At 35.7% G+C, this 23904-nt stretch overlaps 1 protein-coding gene across 5 annotated transcripts in view; it reads right to left on the bottom strand.

Moving 5' to 3' along the window:
• Positions 1 to 23904, bottom strand: part of DCC (DCC netrin 1 receptor) — a 1195703-nt gene that overhangs the window by 558807 nt on the left and 612992 nt on the right. The window contains exon 2 of one of the 5 annotated variants that reach the window (XM_011525844.3): positions 11967 to 12062. The exons of the other annotated variants lie outside the window; for them this stretch is intronic. The gene's annotated coding sequence lies outside the window, so the exon portion shown is untranslated. The remainder of the gene's footprint in view (positions 1 to 11966; positions 12063 to 23904) is intronic. 5 annotated transcript variants of the gene reach the window in all.

Genomic DNA, 23904 nt, shown 5'->3' with positions numbered 1-23904 from the left:
GACCATGTATTTTATTACCTAGACTAGGGCATTTTGAGCACCTTGAGGGAGAAACTTTGTTCTCCATTGTCACACCAATGCCTAGAATAGTGATTGACACAGAGTAAGTGTTTATTAACAATTTATCGCATGAATTAATGAGTTAAGGTTTACAAACTTAAGAGGACATTCCAGAATAATGTAAAACATTATATCTCATTTTACAGGTTTCATTTGAAGAACTGTGTACCCTTCACAAATAGATGCAGAGGTAAGCTCTCTGTGTTTGCATATGTAAGATAGTGAAAACAGATGGTGGCTATTATCCCTCTACTTTAAGAAGTGAACATATATTTAAAAGTTAGATATCAGAATAGAATATCCTCAGGGGGAAGAAACCATTGGGCTAATGTTTTATTTTACAACTGGAGTCAGACTGGAAAATAAAATGTGAAGTTATCTTCAGCTTTTGAATTAAGATATTTGTGAAAGGGAGAGATTACATTTGTAAATGAGCTTTAAATGTTGTCATGGATGGAATTGTGTCATCTTGCAAAGTTCATATATTGAAGTCTTAACCTCATATATGATTGCATTTGTGGATAGAGCCTTTCAGTAGCTAGCTAAGGTTAAATGAAGGATAACGAGTGGGGTCCTACAACCTAGGCAATACCATTCAAGACACAGATACAGGAAAATATTTCATGACAAAGACACCAGAAGCAATTGCAACAAAAGCAAAAATTGACAAGTAGGATCAAATTAAACCAAAGAAGTTCTACACAGCAAAAGAAACTATCAACAGAGCAAACAGACAACCTACAGAATGGGAGAAAACTTGTGCAAATGATGCATCTGACAGAGGTCTAATATCCAGCATCTATAAAGAAAAACAAATTTACAAAAAAAAAACATGACCCTATAAAAATGTGAGCAAAGGACATGAACACTTTTCAAAAGAAGATATACATGCAGCCAACAATCATATGATAAAAGGCTCACCACTGATCATTAGAGAAATGGAAATCAAAACAACAATGATATACCATTCAATAACAATCAGAATGGCTACTAGTGAAAAGTCAAAAAATAACAGGAGCTGGCAAGGTTGTAGAGAAAAAGGAATGTTTACACACTGTTGGTGGGAGTGTAAATTAGTTCAGCCATTGTGAAGGACAGCGTGGTGATTCCTTAAAGACCCAAGAGCAGAAATACCATTTGACCCAGCAATCCTACTACTGCGTATATACCCAAAGAAATAAAAATCATTATATTATAAAGACACATGCACAAATGTGTTTATTGCAGCACTATTCATAATAGCAAACACATGGAATCAACCTAAATGTCCATCAATGATAGACTGGATAAAGAACATGTGGTACATATATACCACGGAATACTATGCAGCCATAAATGAATGAGATCATATCCTTTGCACGAACATGGATGGATTTGGAAGCCATTATCCTTAGCAAACTAACACAGGAACAGAAAACCAAATACCACATGTTGTCACCTATAAGTGGGAGCTAAATTATGAGAACACACAGACACATCAAAGGGAAAACACACACTGGGGCCTATCAGAGGGTGGAAGGTGGGAGGAGGGAGAGGATCAGGAAAAGCAACTAATGGGTATCAGTCTTAATAGCTGTGATGAAATAATCAGTACAACAACCCCCCATGACACAAGTTTACCTATGCAACAAACCCGCACGAGTACCCCTGAACTTAGAATAAAAGTTAAAAAAAGAGTAGAGTCCTAATTCAACAGGACTGTATCCTTATAAGAAAAGAAAGAAACACCAGAGCTCTCTCTCTCTTCCCTGTGAAGACACAGTGAGAAGGCAGCCATCTGCAAGCCAAGAAGAAAGCCCCAACCAAGACCAACCTTGCCAGCACCTTGATCTTGGATCTCTAGCCTGCAGAACTGTAAAAAGATAATTATATGTGGTCGAGGTTACTAGTTTGTGATGTTCTATTGTGGTAGACCAAGAAGGCTAATATGAAGTGGACTTTTTTCTTTAGGGTCAACAATGATGGCTTGAAGGAAGCAGAAAATTCAAAAGAGAAACAAGGTCCGTCCTCTGTTTCTAATATTGTTCAGGAGATCGAGTATAATATAGAGTAGAAATCTGTTAAATGAAATCCTCTGGAAATAAAATCTAACAAACTTTTAACATATCCGTAATAAATGTCTGGAGTGTTTTGTATGTGACCTAACTCACAGCACAATATAATTTAACCTAAAATTACTACAAGTCAATTATACCTTTTAAAGGTTAAAGTTAAAGACATCATGCCCACAGTGCAATTTCCTCCCAACAGGAAAGTAAGTCTTACACTGCAGTCATCATCTCTTGGTTTTGTTTTAAAATGAAAACTGAAAAATAAAAATTAGCTGTCTACATTGCAAGTGGAAAATGACAGGGTAACATACTGGATCATTTAGATTCTCCTTACAACGTGGGCTCAGAAAACACTGTTACTATTTATTCTCATATATTCTCAGAGCCTCCCTGCATTAGATTCTACAGGCCACCCTGTGGCTTTTCAAGCAAAATAATCACTCTTTTTTTATAAATTCATTTTATCAGCACTTGTGTTTTGATTTGCTGCAAGTCCTCTGGCATTTATTAACAGTCAGAGTGGTTTGGGGCAGCCTTATGCAAATGTGGCTCCGTCAACCAACAAAATGCACATTTTCTGTTTGACAATCAACATTTCATTAATAGCTTGTTAAAGCTGGAATGGACCTTAATGACAACCTATTTCATGCCTCAATCTCCCACCCGGCAATACTAGCACCAGATAAAAGACCCAGGCATCTTGACTTTCAGGACATTATGCTACCTACGTGAACAATATCAGAAGATGCTTTCTTAGGATATGTAGACAAGATTTTCAAGCTGCAGGAAAATTTGTATCTGGCCTGTCCTTAATTGAACACACCTTAGTATCTACATTTCTTGCTTTATCATAAAAATAAAACCAATATTATATACATGTATAATATATTCTTCACTGTATTTTTTTCAATTAAAAATAAGCATTGGCATAAAAAGTTCTAATACACTAACAATTTTTATCTATCTTCTGTACCCATTATAAAGGGTCATCTGTTATTTAAACACACACACCTCCGCCACACATACAACAGGACATGAGTGTGCCCAAAGCACAGGAGAAAACATTCAATGAATCTTCTTTGATCTACCGAATGAAATTGTAAAACATTCAGTTTTATCACTCCTATAGAAATGAAAGATAAATAAGCCTCCAGTGAAAATGTGTTGGTTAAGAAAAGAAGAAAAAAGTATCCTGAAGGTCTAGCATCCTCTTCTCTATTCACACCAGCATGTGAATCCTACATACTCTAGGCCTCTTGGGAATTTCTTCTGTAACATAGTAAAGATGGTACCTTTCTCACCACAAGAAGCAAGTCAGTCTGCAGATCACTAAGGTCTCTTCAGGTGCTAAGATCTGTCTCTCTGTGAATGCATGGAACACAAAATATGGGAAGAAAGGAAATCTCATGCTAGTCTAATCAGAAATAAGGAGGCAGAGAGTTGGAGCTCTGGAAATGAAAGATGCAAGGATGTAACATTTTACTTAGGGAGCAGAAATATGAGAAAGGGAGAGCAAAAACCTACTTGGCCAGTGGGTAAGCAAGTTATGTAACCAGTATTTGTACATGCCGCAATTTGAAAAATCTATAAAATGAGCATCGTATTATTTAGTACAACTTAATAAACTTTTACAGTTTATTAAGTGATTTAAAAATTCACACTAGGTATAAGTTAAAAAAACTTTATCATTTGTATAAATTTGAGGATTTTATGATTCCTTTAACTAAAGTTATTAAACATGAATACTTGTCAATTTAAAAATACATTGCTATAACCCCATCTTCCATAGACTGCATTATATTAAAGATCTAGATAAAGAAAGACCCAATTGAAGATACCTAATGCATCTATTCAATCACTCATTTATCCATTCAACAAACATTGATTGAATATCTACTAGGTTCTAGCACCGTGTTATCAGGAAAACACTGGTTAAGTGGTCTGTCGAAACATGAATATTGAATCTTTCCTGTTCCATGTTGGCAATGAACCCATTTCTCTGTGTCTAGATGATTACTTCTTTTGTTTGGAATGCAGTGGCTGCAGACTGCACAGCTCAGTGCACCCCCATAAAAATCATGCATAGCATGGAACCATTCAAAACTGTATTCAGTGATGTGTCTCTGAGGGTAATGTAAAGCAGTGATGGATATCAAGAAAGCTAAATGCTAAGCACCAAATAAATAGTATGTCTTCTCTTCAATGGCATCATCAAGTACCATTAAGATGGGATGGCAGCTCCTCTACCATGTTCCCTCAAATGAGAAGTACATTTGTGCTAACATAGCAAAGAAGAGGAAAGTGTAGATAAGGCAGACTTTAATTCCTTAGTTTTGCATTGCTTTTGGCCCAGTATACATGTATTCATATATGTAAATATATGATATATTTTATTACATAGACATATCCATCTTGATATGTACATGGAGTAAAACCTATAGCGAGAGTAAAAAAAAAAAAAAAAGCAAGAAATTTTCATGTACACTTACGTGTATTTCCCTTAACATAAAAATATTTTAAAAACAGCTGTTAACACATCTAATTCCTGATTTGGAGGCTGTGGAGCTTATCTGCCCATATTATTCTAAAACAGAACAGCAATTTAAGGCTAAGAAAATTTTAGCTTATTTATGTTTATTTCATGGTATTTTTAGTGGCATGTTACACAAATCCACCCAAGGCAACTTAATTGTGGAAGGCATATTTTAAAATAATAACTCAATTGATAAGTATGATAAATGTGTTTTTGTTTACTCTCACTAGGACCAGCCTATGTTTAGAATTTGAAGGAAATATAAATATATCCTCTGCCCTACGGTTTGTCTCCAGACATCTACCAGGATATTTGACCAGTGGAGGTGATTTGTTTCTTTCATGTTCATATATTGCCTTTCTCTTCACATCTCTGCTTCAAATCCACATCATTTTGAGAGAGGTTACATATTAACTTCAAATTAGCCATCAGCACCTTATTGTGAGTTAATTTCTGAGCTCACTGTCAGGAGACAGAGGGGAAGTGGTGTTCTGATGCCGTGAGGGAGCACAGGATGCTTGATGAATTCATGCCTCAATGTGCTGTTAAAGTTTGTTGTGTATGGAGACTACATAGCAGGAAAGAGATCCAGGGATAAGAAAAGAGGAACAAAATGTCACACCTAAGATCAATCATCAGTGCCAGGTGATAACTTTCTGCACAACTTGACTTCTCTCTGCCTTAGGAGGTTTTCACAAGAGTGAGATCCAATAATGTGATCACTGAGTCATTTCTAAGGGGATATTGCAGACTGTAACAGGCTAAAAGTGGTAGAGGTAGAAGAATTAACCATTGAAAACCACCTCTCCCCCATCTCCCACCAGAATGAGTTCCTTTTTCTTGCTTCTGTCATTCCCTACTTCAGTCTATAATCTCCTCTGCCAAGAGGTCTGGGAAGATATGTTTGTGTGTGTGCGTGCGTGTGTGTGTGTGTGTGCGCGCACACACACACGCACACCTCTCCCTGTATCTCAAGGCGATATTGTCAACTTGCAAAAGATGTTCAGACTCCTTTCTGAAGACATTCTATTCATACCACTCTGATGCCAATTCTACTAACTAGAGTCATAGGGAATTATACATCCATTGCTAAACAGGCCACAATCCCAATGGTGCTGAGCAAGCTAATTTTCTGGGCCCTGTTCATAATGTTCAATTGGTAGCAGGGGAGCTACAAAGTGGTAAGCTCTGATATGATGACTAATCAATCAGAATTTGAAAGCTCCTGCACAGGGAATTCTGGGAAAATTCAATGAGGCTCTAGAAGCTGCACTAACGAAAAAGAAAAGGCCAAGGAAAAAGCTGTGTTTTTTTTCTGCCCCTGGGGTTGAACAGCTGTCATCTGTCTCAGAGTCAGAATGTTTTTTCTAAGTAAAAATCTCATTTACATACTATAGAAAGTGGTGGAAAAATCAGTGAATAAACAAATTTAGCATCAATTCCTAGCTAATAATTATGACCCTCTCTTATTCCCCAGAGTTTCAATTCAAAAGAACTGAAGCTTCACAACATTAGTTTTAGGAGCCAGAGTTATGAAGATGCTGCTTAGACGAAATGCCCTGATCTTTCTCTGCACAGCGGTGTGCTGCTGTTGTAATTTTGCCTAATAATACCCCAAGCTCCACTTGTTACTAACTACATAGAAATAATTCTACAGAGGCTTCAAATGGAATTGTGTTATTCATCATGAATTCTCCCAATGCTTAGTCTATGGCATACCAAAGGGAATTATTTTATGAATGGCAAGTACCTCCCCACCCCATGCTATATTTATAATTTCTTTTCATTCACACACATTATCTGGAAGGTTAAATTAAATTTCCCACACTTATTTAGTAGATAACAATGCTTTGAGTAGTCTTTAAACTTTAAAAGACACATTTATTTATACCATATTCTAAACAATATGTCTTTAGGTTTACACTTAGAAAAATCTCCATTACTTAAAATCACTGGAGAGTAATGTTGATATATATACATACTTAGAAATCATTTTATATATTATGTGATAATTTTGAGTTTTGGAAAACTGAAAAATACATATCATCTGAAAATAGGCTTCTCCACTTTCTCATAAATCAAAATGATTATAACAGATAAATTAAATGTTACAGTCTTCTGAACTATCTTTACATGTGACAAAGGTTTAATTATGCCACCTATAATTACAGTGTGGATTGTATTTTAATATATTCTAAATGTTAGAAAAATAGTGATTAATTATTCAGAAGATTTAAACAATCAGAATGTCAATATTTATTGGCTATTCCTAATAGTAAAACAGATTCAGTGTATTTAAGTAGGTATGTAAATATATATCTTCCTAGGAGCATTTAAGATTTATATGTATCTAAATATTTCTATGTATGACATTCATACAGAAATCCCATAAAATCATAATTCTTTATTAAGTAATTTTTTAAATATTATGTGTCAAATCAAGTCTTCCAAATGTAAGAACTCTTATCATTGTACTTTGAATGTTCTCTTCTCTGACAACATTGCAAACAGCTTTCACTCTGTAAAAATGATCTCTATCATTCTCTCATTCGTACAACAAATACTTATTGAATACCTGCTACACACAAGGCAAGAAACAATGAAACCAGTCATATGTCTTCTTTAATCCTCAGAGATAAGGCTAGGAAGGCTGGCAGGGATCTGATTGTGGAGAATATAATTCATCTAATTTAAACTTTTCAGCCTATCCTGAAAAATATACTTTATGAAAACATAAGCAATTAAGAAATATATTCAAATTAGAAGCTTTAGAATGTTGGAGAGGACTGATGAGAAAGAGAGAGAGAGACACAGAGAGTCACAGAAAGAGAGAGAGAGAGAGAGAGAGAGAGAGAGAGAGAGAGTGGGGGGCGGGGCAAATAAGGAAATTGCATTAGAGGCTAATCTGGTTGAGATAAGTAAGTCAACTAAGTAGGTTCTAGGGAATTTATAGCATTTTGTAAAGGAGGATTATAAAGAATCATTGTTGGCTGATTGAGGCAATGGTCAATGGAAGTGAGGGGAAAGAATGACACTGAGACGTTACCCAGGTTTCTACTTCGGTAATTTGGTTGGTGGTAGTGTTATTTGCTAATATAAGGAATTCAAGGGAGAGGCAATTTGGAGACAAAGATTGTTTGTTCATTTCAGCTATTTGGTGCTTTAGATGCCCATAGGACAACCAGAGGAAAACATCCAGTAGGCACTGGATAGACAGGTCTGGAAGTCAAAGGCAAGATATTGGATGGTGGGAGAGATTTGGAAGTCATAGGTGAATAGCAGTAAAAACCAAGAAAGGGAATTAAATTGTCCAGGAAAAGCATGTTGGCATAAAGAAATGAACAAAGAGCAGAGCCCTAGAGAACAAGAATAACTAGAGATGGGCTACTAGAGGAAGAAGAAAAGTGAGACCAGGAGAACCGTTTTTTTTTGTTGTTGTTGTTTTTTAATGCAACTTACAGGCTAAGGGAGAGAGAATGTGAGAGGTTCACAGAGTCTCATCCGAAGGGGGAAATTTAGGGTTGCCTGATTTAATGTGGAAAAATACAGGACTCCTAACTAAATTAGAATTTCAGATAAACAGCAAATATTTTTTAGTATATCACAAAAACTGCTTACACTAAAAAGTAGCTATTTTATTGGAAATTTAGATTTTACTAATTAAATTTAAATTTACCATTTAAGATGCAAATTATTTTGTATTTATCTGGTATCCCTAGCTAAATTACATGAGAACTAAAAAGATTCCACTGCGTCTGTAAGCACAACCTTTATTGGCCATTATTTACAGAATAATTTTACTGGTTGTTTGAATCTAGTTTCCATTGCTGATGAGTGGATGGTTAAGAGGTAAATTCCAAACATTATCTTGAGGTCTGTGCTGTGATATGAAGAGGGCAATGTAGGGCAATAGCTAGAGTGAGACTCCGAGCCTCCTGAACTAGTAACAGAGGGAAAGGATAGAGCCAAGATAACAAGAGAGGGTGGGATGCTGAATAAGGGACACAGCTGCTCCCTCTGCACCCACCCACCACCAAGCCCTGTGACAAGCCTCTTTCCTGTCTGTATGTCTTGTCACACATGGAGCTCTCCTCTATATAATACTTTTCCTTAGTCCCTGCCTGATGCATTGCAATTCATCCTTCAACACCCTCACTATTAGTAGAAAATGTGCCTGGTCACCCTCCTCAGAGTTATTAACTCTTTCCCTCTGTTACCCTAACAACGTCTACCAAGATGCTATAAACTCCATCTCGTGATCCATTAAAAATCTCTGACTCCTCAGAGGGTAGCTGGAGGATGGAACTTTGCGTTATTAAATTTCGTAATACCAAAATCTATTCTAATTCTTGGACCAGTATAGATGGTTAATAAATGCTAGAAGAATAATATACACCTTTCCAAGATCCCTTTATTCTGTTGGCTCTAACAACTACAAAGAGAGAAATTTCAAAAATCTGATGACCATTGAACAAAGTAAAATGTGTGTATTTTAATGCGTCTAAAATCTCAAGTTAAGATGCATTAAATAACTACATAGGCATATATTACATCATCCATTATCCATACAACATTATCTAATTTTTACTTGCATAAAGTGCCACAATTATATTGCCAAAAAATCCTGTCCCTGTATTTCATTTTCTATTGTTACATACGGGTTACATTTTTATTTTCCCTAAATAAATATACCGAATATATTTTTGAAGTTATCAGGAGGCAAACATATTGAATGTGAAAGCTCATCTAGAGAGAGATCTAATATATCAGAAGAGGAGAAAGCAACAGAAAATTAAGGTGGTAAATCTAGAAGAAAGTATAGATTAACCAGAACTTGAAGAGAGAGACAGACACTGTAGAAAGAGAGACACAAAACAGGAAAGAAAAATTTCAAAAGACAAAGTCTTAGAATGGTGCAAATTCCTATTAGCACAAGCATTATTACCAAGAATACAGAAATAAAATGACCCACTTGAATTCAAGGTCCTGGTCAAAACTATACAGTACATATTATACACTTGGTTGCCTTGGCAGAGAACTTTTGACATTTGAGTAATTACATTGTCATTAAGAAAGAGACCTGCAAATCAAATAAATAGTATTGCTAGGCAGGCCAACCATACTCAGTTAACTCTACCTTGGGAGAAGGTCTACAGAGGCGTTTGGGTTGGATTTGCTCCATGAAAAAGAATGAGGCCATGAAGTAAAACAATAGGACTTATATATAAAATGGTTAAAACAAGGCCAGGACAGCCAAAGTAATAAATTGTGTGGTTTTTTATCCACATTTTCTGGGCTATTCTACTTACCAGGGCTTAAGACCCACAGAAACATGGGATACTGGACTGGGAAAAGGAAATGTGTCAATTCATTTCAGAGGGATTTAAGCATGCTGCTTCTGAGCACCTTTCCCTGCCTCACCATTAGTATAGGGTGAGCCAACCAGAGGGAGGAGTAGAATAGGCAGAAAACAGAGCACAGGGGCTCCAAAGACGTTCAAATCGCTGTTGAGTTTCCTCTTACATAGCAGGAAAGACGCATGTCAACGACTTAAGCCTATTACAAAGCAAAATTCAATTCAAGTGGTTCATATTAATTAAGGCAAAGCTTAATAAACAGACTGGTTACAGATGAGTGGGCTGGATTAAGGGATACACCCAGAGATTTGAAACAGAGAAAGTCATGACCACTGATAGGCCTGAAGGGGCAAAGGGAGAAACAGTGATTCCCATCGTGAGATCACAAACAGTAGGAGCCATGGAAGAGCTGTCGCCTAACATAGCTGTACTCAAGGAGGGTACAGACCAATACAGAATGGAGAAAAGCCCCCAAGAATCCTTGCTTTTGAACCCTTGCTTTTCACTGTCCTATCTATTTTCTCCTGTTGGTGCCTCCGATTGGGCAATCCACTGGAAGCCAGCTGTCCCTCCACCAGAAGCCAGCTGTCCCAAGAGCCTGTGTCAGTCTCCTGGGGGATACTGCACAGCAGAGATGGACAAAGTAGGGTTTAGGGGTGGAGGGTATACAGAAAAAAATTGAGATTGTTCAGGGTATTAGCTCTCAAAAGTGTATGGAATGCCTGCGCAATTCAAAAACAGTACAAAAATTATTTTTGTTTGCTTGGATATTATAAAGCATAAATAAATAAGTACTCTCCTTATGCTGCTCATTTTTGGAAAGTGAATCATTCAAGTTAGCAGAGTTTATAAGCAATGTCTCTTTATTCATGACCATGCCATAACCCCCTGCTCAAACAACTTTTTGCTTCAGGGTAAATCTTGGCTTCAAAATAGCAAGGGAAAAAGGTTAGATAGGATTGCTTGTTTACTATGGGAAATGATCTATGGATTTTTTTGGGAAGAATTCCTAGCAGTCTATCTCAGGTATTTTCAAGTTCTTAGCAATGGAGAGAAGCACTTCTGGAAGACAAGCATGATATTCCTTTATGGGTCCCCACAGAGCCAAGTACATCAGTGGAGTTTATTGAATGTACTGAGAAAATGTTTCCTGGCTCTCATATTAATGGGTTTATGAAAGGAAGATGCCCATGGGTAGTTTGTATATTGCACTGAGATTTAACTCAAGTGCAAATCATTGAGCTAATGGATCCAGTGGAAAGAGAACTCATTTGGAAGACAGGAAACCTGTGTACCAGGTTTGGGTTTGCCACCAAGTATGATCTTAGACCACAAATATAAATTACTTATGACACACTGTACTTTCTCAGTAAAAATGTGTGTGTGGGATAGTTTATTTCCAGTGTCCTTTTCAGAATAACTTAAAAAAATTAAGCTTTAAATTCTAAAGTCATTTATTGAAATAACCAAATACCTTTCTGAAGAACAAGCAATGCAGAAAGAAAAAAACACAAAAATTATTATTACTTTTCTCTGCCATAGTTTTAACCCTATTTTTGGAATTCACATTTGCAAGGTCATTAAATATATAAGGTGCATGGCAATAGCATCAGCTAAAGAAAAGTGGATAAAATTATGACCTTCTCATTGCTTAGAAATTTGTACTTTAAAAAATTACACAGTATAGTTTGGAGGAGGAGGAATCTTCCTTTTACCCTTTTGTGGTAGTTTTCCTTTTAAGAAAAAAAAAATCAAGCATGTCCTTTCTAGCCTGTTTTGTCAATCTAGCCTTGACTTCTAGTACTTAGTCTGTTTCTTCAAGAACCTTGTCCTTACAGTCTTCTCTGAGATAATATTTATGGATCACAGCAACATTTAAAGTATTACCTTTATGATAGCCTGAATAATGACCCTCAAAAGATATCCTCATCTTAATCCCTGGAATCTGCACATATATTACCTTACCTGGTGAAAGGAACTTTGTAGCTGTGAAGTTAAGGATCTTGAGATGAGTAGAATATCCTGGATTATCTGGGTGGCCTCAATGTAAACACAAGGATCCTCAAAAGAGAGATGCAAAAGGGTAAGATCAGAGAGTGAAGAAGTAGAAACAGAAGCAGGGATCAGAGAGGAAAGATGATGCTAGGCTGTTGGCTTGGAAGATGGCATAATAGGCCATTAATCAAGGAATTTAGGCAGCCTCTGGAAACTGAAAAAAGCAAAAAATGGATTTTCCCCTAGAGCACCTAGAAGACTGCAGCCTTGCCAACGCGCTGATTTCTGCAAATTGAAACTGATTTCCAACTTCTGGCCTCCAGGATTGTGAAATAATATATTTACATTGTTTTCAGCCACTACATTTGTGGTAATTTTTTTAAAACAGCAGTAATAGGAAACTAGTAGACATTCTAAGCAAATTTTAAGTAGGGACTTCTGGAATGACCTAAACATTTAAGAAATCTCTGGTGATTTCAGATCCTGTGACAGAAAGTTATAGAGACTTTTTAAACTAGAAAATAGTACCCACAGTCCCTCAAACACTACTAAATCAATTACGATCGATTGACGTACATGGCAATAAACCCAACTATAGCCCTAATCCATGATTCTTTAAAAAAAATTGAGATTAAAAAAGCCACAATCACAAAGTTTCTCTCAGGCTCCCTCATGGATGAATTAATAAAAATGCCTTATCTTTTCCTTTGGAATTTATATCATTTCATGTTTTTTATTAACAAATAATGGACAATTTGAAAAGTTAGTCTTTAGATTCAACATCATTAAATGTCTTTTTCTGAACTATAATGTTGGTAAACTATTTCAGAATTTCCCTTTTTGGAATGAGCATTTTTCTGAATTAAATTACAATCATAACAGATTAAAAGACAGTTTTTGTCTTCTTTCCAAGTCTCCTTAGGTAAGTTCCTTAAAAAGAGCAGAGTGAAATTTACTATTGATGAAACTAGCTATTTATTCTCTCTATGCTCTGTAGCCTCTGAATATGCCTGTCTCTAACTGTACTTATCATATCATATCAAGAGAATTATTTATTTACAAGGCTGTCTCTATCCATTAAAGTCTAGTGATTGTAATATGCATGTTTTGAGGTTAGGAATTTTCCTTATGCACCTTTTTAAAATCTCTCAAGCCTTGTGCAAGGTAAGCACTAAATAAAATGTTTTGTGAACTTACCAATTCTTACAAAGGCTAAGACTATAATACACTTGATGATGCTCTGAGAGTTTGGATAAAAAAAAAAAAAACTAGAGATAATCAGAAATAGCTTTCAATATTGAACAAGGTATGCCAGATAATATAAGTAACTGCTCCAAAGCAAAAACAGCATTGTTTAAAACATTCCTGGAAGTGTTAGAATTCTCTTTGCACCAAGTGTTCACCCTGGGCCAAACGGTTAAGAATTCAAGGTATTTTTCCCTGTGCATTTCCATACTTTCCCTTTAACCTGGCCTCCACAACACCTTCCCACTCAAAAATGCCCTCCACCTTCATCCTGCTTCACTATTTCCCAGGACACATGCTCAGTGTGCCCCAGACCTGACCACTTCAGACTCCTGTGCATGTTCAGGCAGTCGCATCCCTCTTTTGTTCACTAAATTGCATCCATTTGCAGGTCTTTGCTTCACAGTCTTGCTTTCTGCTTTAGAAGTATCATTTATCATTAAGGAAATATGTGCTCACTTGGTAAGGTATACATAATATATATTTATATATCAATTTAATATCATTCTCCTAGAAAACATTTTTCACACCGGGCCTTTTTTTTTCCACATAAATCATGTAGGCATGCTTATTATGGAAAATAAGATATAAAGAAATAAAAATACTTAAAGATCTTTAGATAAAAATTTTTAAAAAAATCTATATCCCTTGATATTTTAAAAATGGAATTGAGAGCTGTCTACTCAAATTGGCTCCAAATTTTTACTGGAGTCTTAATTCACTTTTTTTTATTTTTTTAATTTTATTATAATTATAATTTAAGTTTTAGGGTACAAGTGCACGATGTGCAGGTTACATATGTATACATGTGCCATGTTGGTGTGCTGCACCCATCAACTCGTCATTTAGCATTAGGTATATCTCCAAATGCTATCCTTCCCCCCTCCCCCCACCCCACAACAGTCCCTAGAGTGTGATGTTCCCCTTCCTGTGTCCATGTGTTCTCATTGTTCAATTCCTACCTATGAGTGAGAACATGCAGTGTTTGGTTTTTTGTCCTTGCGATAGTTTGCTGAAAATGATGGTTTCCAATTTCATCCATGTCCCTACAAAGGACATGAACTCATCATTTTTTATGGCTGCATAGTATTCCATGGTGTATATGTGCCACATTTTCTTAATCCAGTCTATCATTGTTGGACATTTGGGTTGGTTCCAAGTCTTTGCTACTGTGAATAGTGCCGCAATAAACATACATGTGCATGTGTCTTTATAGCAGCATGATTTATAGTCCTTTGGGTATATACCCAGTAATGGGATGGCTGGGTCAAATGGTATTTCTAGTTCTAGATCCCTGAGGAATCGCCACACTGAATTCCACATTGGTTGAACTAGTTTACAGTCCCACCAACAGTGTAAAAGTGTTCCTATTTCTCCACATCCTCTCCAGCACCTGTTGTTTCCTGACTTTTTAATGATTGCCATTCTAACTGGTGTGAGATGGTATCTCATTGTGGTTTTGATTTGCATTTCTCTGATGGCCAGTGATGATGAGCATTTTTTCATGTGTTTTTTGGCTGCATAAATGTCTTCTTTTGAGAAGTGTCTGTTCATATCCTTTGCCCACTTTTTGATGGGGTTGTTTTTTTCTTGTAAATTTGTTTGAGTTCATTGTAGATTCTGGATACTAGCCCTTTGTCAGATAAGTAGGTTGTGAAAATTTTCTCCCATTTTGTAGGTTGCCTGTTCACTCTGATGGTAGTTTCTTTTGCTGTGCAGAAGCTCTTTAGTTTAATTAGATCCCATTTGTCAATTTTGGCTTTTGTTGCCATTGCTTTTGGTGTTTTAGACATGAAGTCCTTGCCCATGCCTATGTCCTGAATGGTATTGCCTAGGGTTTCTTCTAGGGTTTTTATGGTTTTAGGTCTAACATTTAAGTCTTTAATCCATCTTGAATTAATGTTTGTATAAGCTGTAAGGAAGGGATCCAGTTTCAGCTTTCTACATATGGCTAGCCAGTTTTCCCAGCACCATTTATTAAATAGGGAATCCTTTCCCCATTGCTTGTTTTTCTCAGGTTTGTCAAAGATCAGATGGTTGTAGATATGCGGCATTATTTCTGAGGGCTCTGTTCTGTTCCATTGATCTATATCTGTGTTCTGGTACCAGTACCATGCTGTTTTGGTTACTGTAGCCTTGTAGTATAGTTTGAAGTCAAAAGTCAAACAAATTTTACAAACATTTTTGAAACTAACTCGATGACTTAAGCCATACAAATGCATCAATGTATTTGTGCAGGGAGGCATAGCCAACTTTGTGGTGTTTGGTATCATGCAGATGGTGGCTTTCAGCATGAGCCTTTGCTTTCCTTCAGCAGTGATCAGGGAAGTGTATACCCTCTTCCTGGCTCAGTTCTGAAATAAACTGTCAGACAAGGACCCCAATATCCATTATTGTGGTACAGAAAGGTAGCACTGAACTTTTCATATAAAGATAGATCATCGTTGCTGTTTCATCCAGTAATAGGTCATGACAAAGTTTTGCCAGATCTCAGAATCAGTGCTATCATTGTGTCTTAGTGCACAATGTCCTATGCATTTTATTTTTATTTTATATTTTTATTATACTTTAAGTTTTAGGGTACATGTGCACAACGTGCAGGTTTGTTACATATGTATACATGTGTCATGTTGGTGTGCTGCACCCATTAACTCTTCATTTAACATTAGGTATATCTCCTAATGCTATCCCTCCTCCCTCTCCCCACCGCACAACAGGCCCCCACACCGGGCCTTTCTTTAGAAATAACTTCTTAGCATACAACATAGAATTTCAAATATTTAGTAAATGCTGTATCATAGAGTTTTTAAAAATCGTTAAGTTCCCTCAATTAACATAAGCATGTGTTTATGGGTACTATTGGTCCTGATTATAGGAAGCAATGAAATTGTACGGCTCTCTAAAGAGCCATCAAAATTCAGCGTGTGACCTACTTTAGTCTTACTACAAAAATATAAATATAAAATAATATCACTATATGGCAAAAATATTTTTAATCCTGTTATTTACTTACTTCAAACATCAATCCATCAATAAGGTCTTGATTTTGAACAATCCCTTGGAGTTCACAGAAAGTGAATTTGACTTGTTTTATGAGAGTAACCGTGTTGGAGGGATTAAAGAGGGAGAGGAAGCCAAATTACAAAGCTCAGTTTGCTAATGAAGTCAGTAAAGAGTACAAGGAAATATCATAATGTTGGGTACGCTTTGATCCTCTATCAATGTTGTGCAATGGTGGCTGAACATGATCACATTTATATCAAATATGTCATCTTGATTTTGGAGTCACTGGGTAATAAACTGTGATGAACCATGGTCAATTTTTTAAAGATGATTGAAGAAAAATAAATGAGTTTCCCAAATGGGTAGAATAAAAAGAAAAAGAAAGTATGTCAATTAGTAAAGTAGAGACAGCAGGCCTAAAGCAACATTAAAAATGTAGACATTAAAAGAAATGAGTGACAGACCCAGAAGTTGAAAGATGTAAAAGTCTAACCTGATTTCTGCTGGCAATGTAAAGTGTAGTGATTTATGTAATTTATCACAAATGTTAAAAAATTTTAATTACAGGAAAATCCTTCAGGGATATTTACTTGATAAAAGTTTTCCCTCCTTAATCTGTCATTCTCTAACACTACAAGGTTTGTAATATACACAAAACCTAGAAATTTTTTAAAATCTATAGTTTTGAAACCCAGGGAAATTTCGAGCTCCAGGAAAATTTTGAGTAGCTATATTGTGTGTGTGCGTGTGTGCATGCATGCGTGGGTGCGTGTATCTCCAAGCCTACTTAAAGTCCATGTTAGTAGAAACTATACCTTTTCATTTTGCTGTTGTTTTCTGGTAATTTCAGTGTCTAGCATGAAGTCAGTAGGGCTCAGGAATGTATACACATAAAAAATCAAAGTTTCGAAGAAGGTTCAGAGCTACAATTATGATACAGAATCACTGCCTAATTCCCCCAGCTAACCTTTCTGTCACTCAGTGCTCACCAGCAGACTCTGAAAACATACTAGTATCCCATGAAATTCTTTGAATAGTATATTGACTTATTTTGTAAACCAGATGCATAGCAAAAACAGCAGATATATCTTGGTCTGCTTGGCAGTCATTTTATCATTGGAACCATTATGAATAAATATTATTTATTGTGTGCCTCCCATGTGTGATGATTTAAAAAACTGCATCTAGTGCTTGATAAAATTATAGACAAAATTTTATTTTCAATACTTAAAATTTAAATAAACTTAAGTTTGGGAATGACAGACACTGGGAACTCAAAAAGTGGGGAGGAAGGGAGGGGAGCAAACCCGTCACACTATCTGGGTGACGGGTTCCATCGAAGCCCAAACCTCAGCATCACACAATATATCCATGTAACAAACATACAAATGTAGCTCCTGAATCAGAAGTGTATATGCCTGCGTTTAGAGGGTTCAATAACTCATCCAAGACCACACAGCTAGTGAATCAGTTGGTTTTAAGTAGTCTTCCATCACTTATAAATTTGAGTTAACATGAACAATTTTCTGGGACTGGCTTAAACATGAATGCTCTGAAAAGCAAACCAGTTTCTACCTAGTTACTTCCTCATGTTTTATCAGTGCAAATCCAGCCAACTGAACTCATTTAAAACTCTGTTTTTACTCTCTTTCATTCACACGATTCAATTCTTGACCTATTTACAATTATAGTTTCTTCCCTCACCCCCCTGAAATGTTATTTATTCACAAAAACTAAACCAAATTGATGACCTCTAAATCAGAGGTGTCCAGTCCTTTGGCTTCCCTGGGCCACATTAGAAGAACTGTCTTCGGCCACACAAAAAATACACTAACACTAATGATAGCTGATGAGCTAAAAAACAAAATTACAAAAAATTTCAGTGTTTTAAGAACGTTTATAAATTTGTGCTGGGCCACATTCAAAGCCATCCTGGGCTGCATATGGCCCGCGGGCTGTGGGTTGGACAAGCTTGCTCTAAATCCTTACTTCTAGCTTCAACCACTTTCAGAGCTTCCTTGAGCCACTTCAAGCAGAGTATCCACAAATGAACTCATTCCTGACCCCTCCCGACAACATGTCTCTCCTCCTTCAATATTCTCCAGCTGAGTATATCACCTCCTCATCTGTCACTCAGGTGAGTTATCTTTAAATTTACATCCTTCTTTATCCTAAATGCCTATGGCCACCAAGTCCTGATCTTTCTGTCTCTGATGTGTTTCCGTGTCTCCATTTTCATTGTCCGTGCCCCAGTTTAGGTCATCAACTGCTGATTCCTAGAGTTTTGAAATATTTCCTCACTTCTTTTCCTGTCTCTTGTATCCTAATACCAACCTGTGTCTTAACCACCCTTGAAAATTATCTTTTGAAAATATGGAATTATTAAAAGCTATTTTTTATTCTGCTTTATGAGGATAATTTCCCCACTTTAGGCTTCTCTCTCATATCCAAGTACAAATTTCCAACTTACACCATTCACAGATCAATATTATTAATAATTACAGGTTACAAGTATTGAATACATTTTTGGATAGATTTCTAAATCTATTTTTTGATAGATTATCTATTTTTGATAGATTGTTACCACAAAAAAATGCAGATTATAAAAAAACTAAAAGATGCTATAAAATAAATCATACAAAATAATAAAAGGATAGAAGAAATAGAAACTATAATTTAAAAAGAAAGAACAATATGAAAAAAGAACAAGCTGATTTGACAAAGAAATAAACAAAGCTTCCTCACTCCAGAGCATGTGCCACTCCATTTTTTTTGTGTGCTTTCCTGCTGCACTTCATTTTCCATACCACTGTTCTAATTCAGGAGATTATAGTATCTTGAATCAATGCAATAGCCTTATTGGTGTTCCAGCTTCTAACATTGCCTCTTCTCCCAATCTGTGCTAAAGCAGGCACAGTCATGTAAAATGCTCATCTGAACATATTACTTCCTTGATAATAACTATCCATGACATCTTGGTGTTCTTAAGGTAGTTTGCAAGGCTCTGTGGGTGTGTTCTTGCTTGCCTCTTAAACCTCATTTTCTATCATTTACCACTCTCACATCCTATTGAGTTCTTCGCACATGGAGCACAAGGTACTCTCTATACCTCCTGGCCTTTGTTCTTGCTATTCCCACAGATCTTGCCCTGGACACTAATTTCTCATGGTCCTTCCTGAAAACCCACAGTGGAGTGAGAGAGCCTTCCTCTGTTCACACATACTTTATAGTCTTCTCTTAAAATCACATTTACAATATTTGTGAGATATGTGATCAAAAGAAAATATGTCTATAAAATGCAGGAGATAATGGTCCTATTAATATTAATTATGTGGATGGTATTTAGCAGATGTTCTACAAATACTTGTTAAAAACACTCTTCTCTTGCATCTCTTTAGTTCCTTTGTTCTGCTGAAAAAAATTCTACTAATATTTTAAGAACTAGCTCAAATTATCACTTATTTTTGAAATATCGATTGCTCTACTTTCAGTTCCCTTATATTATAATTATTTATAAATGTCTATTTTTCCAGCAAAGTTATAATCTACTATATTGGTTGTATTTTATGAGTTTTCCATACACTTCTAATGAATGAATATATAAACTAATGGCTAGAAAACTCCAAATGATAGGTCATTAAGGTTCCATAAAGATCATAAATGATCATAAATATTACATTTTTTCAATTTTACTGAACTAGCAAACCTTTTAATTTGAACAACATATCCTTTCACATATCTTCACCATTTGATTGTTCTTTCTATCGAAGTTTCAGGAAATAGTCTATCCTAGTGTTGAGAGAATTGTCTGCTGTACTCAGAAATAATTAAGTATTTACATCAATCCTAGGGCACTGAAGTTGCAAGAGATTCAAAGCAATATGCGTGTTTTCGGCCTTGCTATTGACAAATTGAACTCAACTGGAAAAAGTGTACCTGCCTGTTTCATTGAAGTCCATTCTAACTTTGGTCATTTTAAAATCAAATTTGAGCTTTATAGAGAAAAATATTTCCTCTTAATTAAAACATGTTTACAAATTTTAATCCATTAAGCATGAAAATGTAGTTAAAATCTGATGAAAGATATTAAAGAAAAACTAAATAAATTGAGAAATATTCCATGGTCATTGATATGACTGATTGTGTGAAGACGTAATTTCTCCCCAACTTGATCTATAGAGTCCATGTGAATCTGAATCAAAATTTCAGTAAGTTACTTTGTGGCTATCAACAAACTTAGTCTAAAGTTTATATGGAAAGGCAAAAGACCCAGAATAGCAAACCTAATATTTAAGGGTAAGAACAAAGCTGGAGGACTGACACTGTTCAATTTCAAGATTTACTACTATAAATCTATAACTAAATAAGGTTATAGTAATCAAGACAGTATGGTATTGGTAAAAGAATAAATAAATAGATCAATGGAACAGGACAGAGAGCTCAGAAATAGAAAGCTATTTTCAAATATAGTTAATAAATGTAGTCAATTGATCATTGACAAATTAGCAAAGGCAATAAAATGGAGCAAAGACAGTCTTTTCAACAAACGATACTGAAACAACTGGATATCTACATGTAAAAAAAAATCTAGACACAGACCTTATACTCTTCCCAAGAATTAACTCAAAATAGATCATAGATCTAAATTTAAAATGCTAAACTATAAAACTCCTGGAAGATAACACAGGAGAAAACCTAAATGACTTAGGTTTTTTTGATTTTTTAGATACAACACTAAAGGCAAAATCCATGAAAGAGATCATTGATAAGTTGGACTTCGTTAAAATTAAAAACCTCTGTTCTGTGAAAGACAAGATTAGAGAATAAGACAAGTCACTGACTGGGAGAAAACCTTTGTAAGACATGCAACTGATTTAAAAAAAAAAAATGATAGCCCAAATATGCAAAAAGCTTTTAAAAACTCAACAATAACAAGCAACCTGATTTTTAAAATGGGCAACAGACATAAACAGTCACCTCATCACAGAAGATAAATATACAGATGGCAAGCAAGTATACATTAATAACATGCATTCAGTATCATATGTTATGTTATTTGAGAATTAAAAATAAAAACAAAAAATGTGGTACCATTACAAACCTATTGGAATAGCCAAAATCCCAAACACTGACAATATCAAATGCTGGCCAGGTTGTGGAGCAAGAGGAACTCTTATTCATTATTGGTGGGAATGCAAAATGGTGCAACCACTTTGAAGGACAGTTTGGCAGATTTTTACAAAACCAAACATACTCTTCACATATGATCCAGCAATTATGCTCTTTGATATTTACCCAACTTAACTGACAATGTATGCCCACAAAAATCTACACATAGTTGTTTATAGAAACTCTATTCACAATTGCCAAAATTTGGAAACAACCAAGATGCCCCTCGATAGGTAAATGAATAAATCAACTGGTAAATCTTGACAGTGGAATATTATTTGGTGCCAAAAAAAAAAGGTCTACTAAACTCATACAGCAACTTAAATGCATATTACTAAGTGAAAGAAGCCAATTTTAAAAGGCTACATACTGTATGATGTGAACTACATGGTACTCTGAAAAAGGTAAAATTACGGAGACAGTAAAAAGATGAGTGGTTGCCAGGGCACAGCATGCAGGAAGGGATGAATAGGGAGAGCACAAAGGATTCTTTAGACAATGAAACTATCATGCATGATGCTATAATGGATACTTGTCATTATATCTTTGCCAAAACCCATATAACACAAATGTACAACACCAAGGGTGAAACCTAGTGTAAATTATGGACCTTGGGTGATAATCATGTCTCAATATAGGTTTATTGATTATCACGAATGCATCATTGAGGCGTGGGATGGTCATAGTGAGGAAGGATGTGCATGTATGAAAATAGGGAATGTTATGAGAACTCCGTACTTTCTGCTCAACTGTGCTGTGAACCTAAACCTGTTCGTAAAGTTTACCACCTTAAAAAATATTTAAAGCATACAGACATAACTTAAGCTGGTATTCAGTTATGACTTAGAGAAATTGAAATTAGAATATTTATACAACTCCTCTCTATAATGAATTTACCACAATAGACTTACAAGAGACTGAGGAACGAATCAACTCCATTTGCTCCATTTATATTGTTATTCAATTAATATAAATAATGTGGCTTTTAAAAATTGCTTCTTAAATAATCAGTTGTAAGAAATTTGGCAATAGCTTTGTGGAAATAATTGGGCTATTAATCTGCCTTGTAGATTCCAAGATCCTTGCAGAACCATAAGACCTTTCTCAAATATTTCCCTACGCTTCTCTGAGGGTATTCCTAAGACCCATTTGCAAAATATGTTGTTTCTTGCTTGAATGTGATCTTAAATGTTCAGAAAATTCTGTCTTACTACTGTAATTTTTCCCCAAATGACTATTGGCAGAATAAAATAAGTCAGACTAAATTAGAGTACATATGTAGAATATAGTAAAATGACAAATTACATAAAGCTGGTAATAGTTAAGACAATTACAAACAGTATGATTATTTCATCTCCAAAAAATACTGAAAAAAAAACTAGTGATATTTTTCTAGTATACTGAAAATTGTTATATATATTCTTGAGTGATCAGTTAATATTTTCTAGGCTTAACCACAAGTATTCTCATGGTATTTGGGTTGTGAAGATTTTTATTGCAAGCCTAAGGTTGGATTATGAAGAGAGTATGCCAGCAATACGATGAAAATGAATAATTCCTATTTTAATGAAAGGGAAGTTGAACACAGGTACATATAAATGGAGGTGATGTGAAAGCTGTAGTAAGAATTCAAAGATCCCTGTGTCCCACAATTTTGCTCAGAGTTTATAATAGTATTTTTGCTATATAATTTAAACATATCAGGGCACCTCAAAATTGTTGCTAACATCACCATGGTGTTTTAGCCTAAACATTCCAACACTCATGAAACTCCGATTGCTTTTGCAAACCCAGTATGGGAGGGAGATAAGATAACAGCACAATCTTTCTGAAAAGTAACATTTATTTAGTGATCATTTTGGACTCGTGCAGACACTGTAATGTCAGCTGATGCACCTTCATCTCTTTCATAGTGTTTGAGCCCTTTAGATCAATCAATTCAAATTCCTGCTCCTAACACACTGAAATGTTTGGTTAAGCTGACAAATTTGTGTGGTAAATATAACCGCCTGGCAGGAAGCTTTCTGCCTGCCGTAGTCAATGCTTTGAAATAAATCCAGCCAGAACCATTTGTTCAGGCAGCTTTGAAAGTCACTGATACAAATAGATAAGCTGCATGTTCTTGCCTTAGTGCTACATTAGAATGACTCAGTGGGTAGGGACAGGCCACTGTTCTGGAAGGTCCAAAGGACTCCACTAGCAAATGGATCAGGCAGATACAGGTTGAACTCAGCAGGAATCACCCAATATATCCTGTGGGAGAATTTGGACTGGGTCACAGAGGCGGAAAGCCCTGGAGAAGACATCAGTCGAGGCTGTGCATTGTTGTCTCATGTTTGGGACTGCTCTAACAGCGGTGGGGCAACCATAGAGAAGGGGTGAGGATGTATGGACACTTCTGTATGTCTTGGTAAGACTTGTTATCTAAGCACTGAGAATGAAAGTTCACAATGACTTTGAAATATTTCTGTAACTCACCTGTTTATTAATT

This window comes from Homo sapiens, chromosome 18 (genome assembly GCF_000001405.40).
Source record: "Homo sapiens chromosome 18, GRCh38.p14 Primary Assembly".
NCBI classification, from domain to species: Eukaryota; Metazoa; Chordata; class Mammalia; order Primates; family Hominidae; genus Homo; species Homo sapiens.
Note: the sequence above shows the minus strand (reverse complement) of the source record. Positions and strands in the feature narration are given on the sequence as shown.